This window comes from Homo sapiens, chromosome 21, assembly GCF_000001405.40.
Source record: "Homo sapiens chromosome 21, GRCh38.p14 Primary Assembly".
Classification (NCBI taxonomy): Eukaryota; Metazoa; Chordata; class Mammalia; order Primates; family Hominidae; genus Homo; species Homo sapiens.
In genome coordinates, this window is record NC_000021.9 from 29,045,979 (window position 1) to 29,054,652 (window position 8,674).

The following is an 8,674-nucleotide window of genomic DNA, read 5'->3' on the forward strand; positions in this document are numbered from 1 at the left end:
ACGCCTGGCTAATTTTTGTATTTTTAGTAGAGATGGGTTTTCACCATGTTGGCCAGGCTGGTTTCAAACTCCTCACCTCAAGTGAGATGCCCTCCTTGGCCTCCCAAAGTGCTGGGGTTACAGGTGTGAGCCACCACACCTGGCCTAAATAACTTTTCTTCATAATTTATTTTTTGAGACAGAGTCTTGCTCTGCCACCCAGTTTGGAGTATAGTGTGCATGATCATACCTCACAGTAACCTTGAACTTTTGGGCTCAAGTGATCCTCCCACCTCAACCTGCTGAATAGCTGGGACTACAGGTGGACACCAACGTGCCCAGCTAATTTTTATTTTTATTTTTTTTTAGAGATGGGGTCTCAGTATGTTGCCCAAGCATGTCCCAAACTCCTCAAGTGATCCTCTTGTGATCATCTTGCTTTGGCCTTCCACAGTGCTAGGATTACAGGTGTGAGCCGCCATGCCCAGCCAATTTCGTCATAATTTTTTTGATCCTTGATAGCAAAGGAACTTTTTAGGATCAGATTGTGAGAGTGAACTCTTCCTTAGGAAATTATTTTTGATTGACAAGCAGCAAAACTGGATATAGTACATGTGTGTGTTTTGTCCTTCTTCCTCTATCTCTCTTCCTCCTTTTCTCCCGCTCTTTCTTTTTCTTTATTTTTTGATGCCGTATACTTTTTACCCAGAACCAACGAAGACAACAAAAAATTCAAGGAAAAGTTCTTCATTTAAATGATATTTGTACTATTGACCATCCTGAAGACAGTGAATATGAAGCTGAAATGTCACTTCAAGGAGAAGTAAATATTAAATCCAACCATATTTCACAAGAGGGTGTTATGCATAAAGAATATTGTGTCAACCAGAAAGATTTGAATGGCCAAGCAAAAATGATCGAAAGTGTAACTGACAATCAAAAATCCACAGAGGAAGTAGATATGAAAAATATCAACATGGATAATGATCTGGAGGTTTTAACATCTTCTCCCACTAGGAATTTAAATGGTGCCTACCTAACGGAAGGGAGCAATGGAGAAGTGGACATTTCCAATGGTTTCAAAAACCTAAATTTGAATGCTGCTCTTCATCCTGATGAAATAAATATAGAGATTCTGAATGATAGTCATACTCCTGGAACAAAGGTGTATGAGGTTGTAAATGAAGATCCAGAAACTGCTTTCTGTACTCTTGCAAACAGGGAAGTTTTCAATACTGATGAGTGTTCAATCCAACATTGTTTATATCAGTTCACCCGTAATGAGAAACTTCGAGATGCGAATAAACTGCTTTGTGAAGTATGCACACGGAGACAGTGTAATGGACCAAAGGCAAATATAAAAGGTATTTTAATGCTCTCACTGTAAGTAAAATTAATATTCAGGGGCACATTTTGCACTGCATAGGTAGAGTACTCCTAATTGTATCAGGATTTGGATGGCATGAATAAGTGTCCTTTTCTGTGTAAATATTTTAATAGGATGGAAAAGTAGGACTTTATTGAAGTGGCTAATACACTGTGACATCCCAGCAGCAGTTAAATGGGACAGTTTTCTCCCTGACATCTCTCCCTGTGGGTAAATTATCCCCTTGGAATGCAGTCACCACAGCATCCTGACACATAGTGGCTATTTTTTTCCACCCTTACCTCCTTTGCACCCAGGACGCCACACTTGAATTTATCAGTGAACTAATATGACATGCCCAGTGCAAAGCACTGGGAAGACAGTGCTTTCTTACAGTCTTCCTCAAATGGGAGAAAGGATCATACTGACAATTTCCCTTATCTCCCCATTGCTTTTTTTTTTGAGTTTGGGTAAATAGGATGTGGAGGGGCCATGGATTCCTAAGGATTTTTAGTAGAATTGTTGAAACATTTTAAAATTCTAAGTAGAATTTTATTTATTTACATATAGAGACAAAAAGTAAGCCTGTGTGTGTGTGTATGTATCTTATATGTGTGTGTATGTATATATATATATGTGTGTGTATGTATATATATATAAGCTCAGAGACTATACAAAAATAGGCTTACTTTTTGTCTGTATATATATCAGCTCAGAGACGATACGTGTGTGTGTGTGTGTGTGTGTGTGTGTGTGTGTGTGTGTGTGTGTGTGTTTTGAGACAGAGTCCTGCCCTTTCTCCCAGGCTAAAGTGCAGTGGCCAATTTCAGCTCACTGCAATCTCCACCTCCCGGGTTCAAGAGATTCTCCTGCCTCAGCCTCCCAAGTAGCTGGGACTACAGGCACCCGCCACCACACCTGGCTAATTTTTGTATTTTTAATAGAGATAGGGTTTCGCCACGTTGGCCAGGGTGGTCTCAAACTCCTAACCTCAAGTGATTTGCCCGCCTAGGCCTCCCAAAGTCCTGGGATTACAGCGTGAGCCATCGCACCCAGCCTAAAAAATATTTTTTATAGATGAGCATTTGCAAATGATTTGATGTGATGGAATATACTAAACTTTCAACCTCATTAACCAAAATATTGTGTCTCTCCACAGTAATTCAATTTTGCTCTGATTGTAATCATTCTCAGTTATTACTGTATTTTGATTTCATCAGTAAGAATTTATGGACATTTTAATCTCATAAATACCTATAAAATATCTTTGATTTTGCCTCTTACTCCACAAATTCTACAATATTTGTTATCTAGTACTTCATAGAAAAAGTTTACTGATCCTTGCTTTAGATGTTTGGAATGATTTTATAGCAAATCTGAATGCTTTAGGGGTCTAAAATGATTTTCTCCCTGTTAAAAATTTCTTCTTTTCTTTAGGTGAAAGGAAGCATGTTTACACCAATGCCAAAAAGCAGATGCTAATTTCTCTTGCTCCTCCTGTTCTTACTCTTCATTTAAAGAGATTTCAGCAGGTACTCCTTGTTACCCAAAATTTGTTTTAAATATGTAACACCTACTTTATTACCTATTTTTTTCATTACTGTCTCAACATACTACTTTGTTTCTTTGGTTTTCTGTTGTTTCTTAACTGTAATGTCAATGAAGTCAGAAAGGGAAAAACATAGGGGCTAGGCAGAGGCGCATGTGAAGATGGAGGCACAATCTCCTCAGATTTCCTAGAACTCATTTATGTCCCTCTTTTTAGTACGATTGGCATCTTACTTTTATTTCAGGTTAAAAAAAGAAAAAGACTGGTGTGTTACATATATCTCATGCTTAGGAATATTAGTGATTTTTTCTGTTTTGTGTGTGGCATCTTGTTTTTACGGACCCTTGATAAAAAGACATTGGTGCCTTGGATTGTCATCATTTTGGTGACCTCATCTTTTCTGGAAAACTTTTGCTATAGCTGTATAACTTCTAAACTGTGTTGCAAATTCCGAAAGTACTTTCAGTATCTTCAGAACGTTTTGCCTCTTGTGGTTGGTATGGGCTTGACTAATTGGGTGGGCCTTTATTAACAATTCACTAAGCTTGGTTTGAGCATGAGGCTGAGAGCGTGTGTTTCACAGAAAAGTATTATGCTATCGCTGAGTTTTAAGCACTCAGAACCTGTGGTCTAATCTGGCATTTCTGGATGGCTGAAGCAGAAACATTGAGAATTTTCTCACGAGAAAAGTTGTTTTTCTTCTTTTTGAAACAGTCTTGTTCTGTCACCCAGGCTGGTGTGCAATGACACGATCATGGCTCACTGAAGGTTTGACCTCCCAGTCTCAAGCGATCCTCCCACCTTAGCCTCTATAGTAGCTGGGACTATAGGTGGCTACCACCATGTCCAGCTAATTTTTTAATTTTTTTGTAGAGACAGAGTCTCACAGTGTTGCCCAGGCTGATCTCGAACTCCTGGGCTCAAGTGATCCTCCTGCCTCAGCTTCCCAAAGTGCTGAGATTACAGGCATGTGCCATCGTGTCCAGCTGGGAATAGCTTTCTTAATGTGTTGGTGTGTGTTTTTTGTGTGATACATGTGTACTTAGCAAAAGCAAACCAACTTGGAATCAGTTAGTGTTCAGGAAGAATTGAGTCTCCAAAGAAAATTGAACTAGGACTTAATGTTGATATTCTTTTGGACGTCGGAGGGGACTTCGGTTTACTTAACCTGTATTGCTTTTCCAAGAAAAGAAGTCAATCTGTTATGCTTCTCTTTTAGGCTGGTTTTAACCTACGCAAAGTTAACAAACACATAAAGTTTCCGGAAATCTTAGATTTGGCTCCTTTTTGCACCCTTAAATGTAAGGTAAGTCAAAGTGGTCTTTTTCAGGAAAGTCCTTTAAAGTCAAATTGTGGCTTACCTAATGCTCCAGTAGCAACTCACTTAAGTATGAAGTTGATAACACTTATTGAGTAGAGTGGGTCTTTGATCATTGTACCTTTATAATTTGAAGATTAGTGATGAATCATTTTGAAGAATGGGTTATTTCAGTTCAACGTTTGGAATCCCCTTTATTATGGCATACATTGTCTTGTGAGCGGAGGGCATAAAACTAAAGGTGAGCAGATCTATTAATGAATAATCTGTTTAATGTGGTTGAATGTTAAGGCTGGTGAACATAGGTCAGGAGTGGTATACACTTAACCCAGCATGTTGGTGGTTCAGGAATGGCTTTGTAAAGTAAACCATGCCTCAACTATATTTAAAGAAGGAGTAAAAGTATGATGAATCAAGATGAAATGAGTTTTGCAGGCAGAAGGAACAGCAGGAGTAAAAACAGCAGTGTAAAATAGGATGGTGATTGCCAGAGACTGGTAACGTATGTAGTTCTAGAGTTTATAGTACAAGGTTATAGGGAGAGTTGAGAAATGAAGCCAGAGAAGTGAGATAGGAATGAAGTTTTGGAGGGTTCTCATGGTGAGGAACTTGGACTTCATTAGGTATACAGTGGGGAGCCCTGAGGAGTTTAAAGCACTGGGGTGGCATGGTCAGATCTTCATATGACGTAGGTTACTTGTTGATGTATGAAGGCTGAATTTTAGGACGGAAAGACTAGAGGTGGGGAAGTGAGTTTGGAGGCTGTTGTATTAATTCAGCCAGTAGTTGATGAGGGCTTAAAGTTGGGCAGGAGATGGGGAGATAGAAGGAATATTTCAGGAGGTAGAATTAACCAGACTTAATGATTGATTGGCACTGTAAGGTGAGGCAGAGGCCTTTTATAAGTGGATGCTGAGGGTGGCAGAGAAAGGGTTGAGGATGATTCCTGAGGCCTGGCACGACAGATGGGAGTGCTGTAAATTGAGATAGGATATATAGGGAGAAAAGCAGGTTGAGAAAAGCAGGTAGAGAAAGGATAATGACTTCAGTTTTAGATACATTTGAGTGTCAGATACCTTTGAGAAATTAATGTGCTTAGTCTAGAAAACATTTGGATATACATATCTGAGACCTATAGCAGAGAGGTTAGGATGGGCCCAGGGCACAGATTTAGAAATCAGTACATATGTGGCAGTTTAAACTATGAGAAGATGGGATCCCTTGTGTATAGAGTCTGAAGAGAGAAAAAGGAGATGGCCAATGACAGGACCCTCCTAAGTATCTGAGTGGAAGAGGCAGGGGTAGAAAGTGAGGACACCACAAAGGATCTCAAAGAATCTCCATGTTGAAGAATTTGGGGCTGGGCGTGGTGGCTTACGCCTGTAATGCCAACACTTTGGGAGGCCGAGGCGGGTGGATCACTTGAGGTGAGGAGTTCGAGACCAGCCTGGCCAGCATGGTGAAACCCTGTCTCTACTGAAAATACAAAAATTAGCCAGGCATGGTGGTGTGCGCCTGTAATCCCAGCTACTCGGGAGGCTGAGGCAGGAGAATTGCTGGAACCTGGGAGGCAGAGCTGCAGTGAGCCGAGATTGCGTCACTGCACTCCTGCCTAGGTGACAGAGCAAGAAACTCCCTCAAAAAAAAAAAAAAGTCTGGGCCAGTTGCTGTGATGGGCATAATGGAAGAGGCCGCTAAGGACAATTTATAAGATTATGGTCACATTGAGGACTATGACAAGGTACATGATCATTTATTATACTTTTGTTTCTTGGCAGTAGTGGCCATCTGGGTTTGGGGCATGGCAGGTACATTATAGGATTCAGGGTGAGGTTTTGTGATGAATTGGATATGGAGGAGATTATTTGTAAGTGATACATGTGATTGAAGTTCCCAAACTTTAATGTGTATGTGGGAATCAGACCTACAAATTTTGATTCTGTAGGTCTAGTATGGGATCAAAAATTCTGCATGTTTAATGTAAACTCTCAGGTGATGCTGATGCTGGCTGTTCATGGACCACATTTTGAATAGCAATGGTCTAGACTGCATATGGGAATTATATTATGTCAGTTTCCATGCTGCTGATAAAGATATACTGGACAAGATATACTGGGCAAGACTGGGCAATTTACAAAAGAAAGAGGTTTACAGTTCCACATGGCTGGGGAGGCCTCACAGTCATGGCGGAAGGCAAGGAGGAGCACGTCACATCTTACATGGATGGCAGCGGGCAAAGCAAGAGCTTGTGGAGGGAAACTCCCCCTTAAGAAACCATCAGCTCTCATGAGGCTTATTCACTATCAAGAATAAGGATGGGAAAGACCTGCTCCCATGATTCAGTTGCGTCCCAACGGGTACCCTCCCATGACATGTGGGAATTGTGGGAGCTACAACTCAAGATGAGATTTGGGTAGGGACACAGCCAAACCATATCAGGAATGAAGCCAAAAGTCTTCATAGGTGAGGAGAATATGAGCATTGGAGATCCTGTTAGGTTAAAGAGTACAGAATAGGTGAGATGAGAGTTGAATAAATAGAAGACTTGTGGACTAAGACTAAAAATAAGATTTATGTCCCTTCAGCTCAGGAGTTTGAGACCAGCCCAGGCAACATGCTGAAACCCCATCTCTACAAAAAATTAATTTAGCAGGTCATGGTGGTGTGCACCTGTAGTCCCAGCTATTCCAGAGGCTGAGGCGGGAGGATCACTTGAGCCCAGGAGGCAGAGGTTGCATTGAGCTGAGATCATGCCACTGCACTCCAGCCTGGGTGACGGAGTGAGACCCTGTCTCAAAAAAAATTTTATGAAGTTGAACAATTCTGAGTGATGACAAGCCCAGACTCTAGTCCTGGGTGTGGTTGACTAAAATGGAATGGCATTTAAAGTCCTGTGAGAATCATAGATGGACGGAGAAGTACTAAGTTCTTCAGTGAATATGGAGGCACAGATTGGGAAGCTGAGTATAGGAGACAGTACTACTGAAGGGCCGTGATGCCTGTTACGGACTTTTACATGAGAACATAAATAGTTGTCTGAAAAGTGGCTCCTGGCCCAGAGAATGCCTGTTCCTGTTGCCAGCCCTATGGCATATAGAGTCCTGAAAGAATAAGCAGCGTGCACTCTCTCGTGGGGAAAGTGAACACTTGAGAGGTTGAATGTGCTTCTCACCAACTCCCTTGGGGACATTTAAAGATGTAAGGGGTAATTTTTGGCACAACCTAAAATACTGTTCTCTTCCTGTTCAGGGCTTACCTTTTTTTAAACAGGGTATTCAGAGTTGTTAATAGCTAGGGTTGTTAAGAATTATCCTCAGGCTCCTAAAGAAACTGGCAAGTTGAATTCAGTTATTTGGTATCTGAGCCAGGTAACTGCATCAAGTGGCCTGTGGCTTACAGCTTTTCTACCAGGGGAACAATGGTGAATTTATAATAAAAACAGAAGTGTCTCAGGCTGAGAAGAGGTATGGAGAAAAGAGTAGACTCATGAATGATTTCTGCACTCTCAAAGTAATGGTTAAAGACCCTTTGCATAGTGTAAACTTGTCTTGCCCATGACATCTGTGTAAATGGAACTAGAACTAACTTTTGGATTCTACTCATTTTTAAAGAATGTTGCAGAAGAAAATACAAGGGTACTCTATTCCTTATATGGAGTTGTTGAACACAGTGGTACTATGAGGTCGGGGCATTACACTGCCTATGCCAAGGCAAGAACCGCAAATAGTCATCTCTCTAATCTTGTTCTTCACGGTGATATTCCACAAGGTAAGATGTCTTGGAAAATTCAGGCACTCAGCAGATTACGGCAAAACCAAAAAGTAATCAACTTGAATCTTTCCATTTATGTTTGATTTTTCATTTTCTCATGACAGATTTTGAAATGGAATCAAAAGGGCAGTGGTTTCACATCAGCGACACACATGTGCAAGCTGTGCCTACAACTAAAGTACTAAACTCACAAGCGTACCTCCTATTTTATGAGAGAATACTGTAATAATATCAAAAGCACTTTTTCTGGAAACACATTTATGGCTTTTATAATGGCTGAAATAACGATAAAAAAAGACTAATTAAAATCATGTTCACTTAACATTAAATACATGCCAGAAGAAATCATGTTTATTTAAATATTGAAGGGAAAAATACCTAAAAATGTACAAAGGTTTTATATTGTCATAGTGGTTTTTATTCCTGCTTTGTTTCTGGAAAGGAAATCCTGAATTACTTAAGTACTTTGTGTTTAATATATCTGGGTGATGGATCACAACACATCAATAAACTGACTTACCCTAAAATCTTGTTTTATTACTGGGAAGATTTTAACTTCTATTGACTTATCCTACTAGGTAACACTTTAAAAAATATTTCATCAGACTGGCTAATGAAGCTTCATTACAAGTGTGTTAATTTTTTTTTTTTTTTTTTTTTTTTTTTTTTGAGACGGAGTCTTGCTCTGTCG

General features: G+C 40.1%; 1 protein-coding gene across 6 annotated transcripts in view; it reads left to right on the plus strand.

Moving 5' to 3' along the window:
• USP16 (ubiquitin specific peptidase 16) overlaps window positions 1–8,510 on the plus strand; it is a 29,821-nt gene extending 21,311 nt beyond the window's left edge. For all 6 annotated transcript variants that reach the window (NM_001032410.2, XM_017028258.2, NM_006447.3 and 3 more), the window contains 5 exons: window positions 689–1,343; window positions 2,783–2,877; window positions 4,114–4,200; window positions 7,824–7,980; window positions 8,088–8,510. In NM_001032410.2, the coding sequence (NP_001027582.1) occupies window positions 689–1,343; window positions 2,783–2,877; window positions 4,114–4,200; window positions 7,824–7,980; window positions 8,088–8,209 (1,116 nt within the window). In that variant the 3' untranslated portion in view covers window positions 8,210–8,510. The remainder of the gene's footprint in view (window positions 1–688; window positions 1,344–2,782; window positions 2,878–4,113; window positions 4,201–7,823; window positions 7,981–8,087) is intronic.
• Window positions 8,511–8,674: the final 164 nt, after the last annotated feature.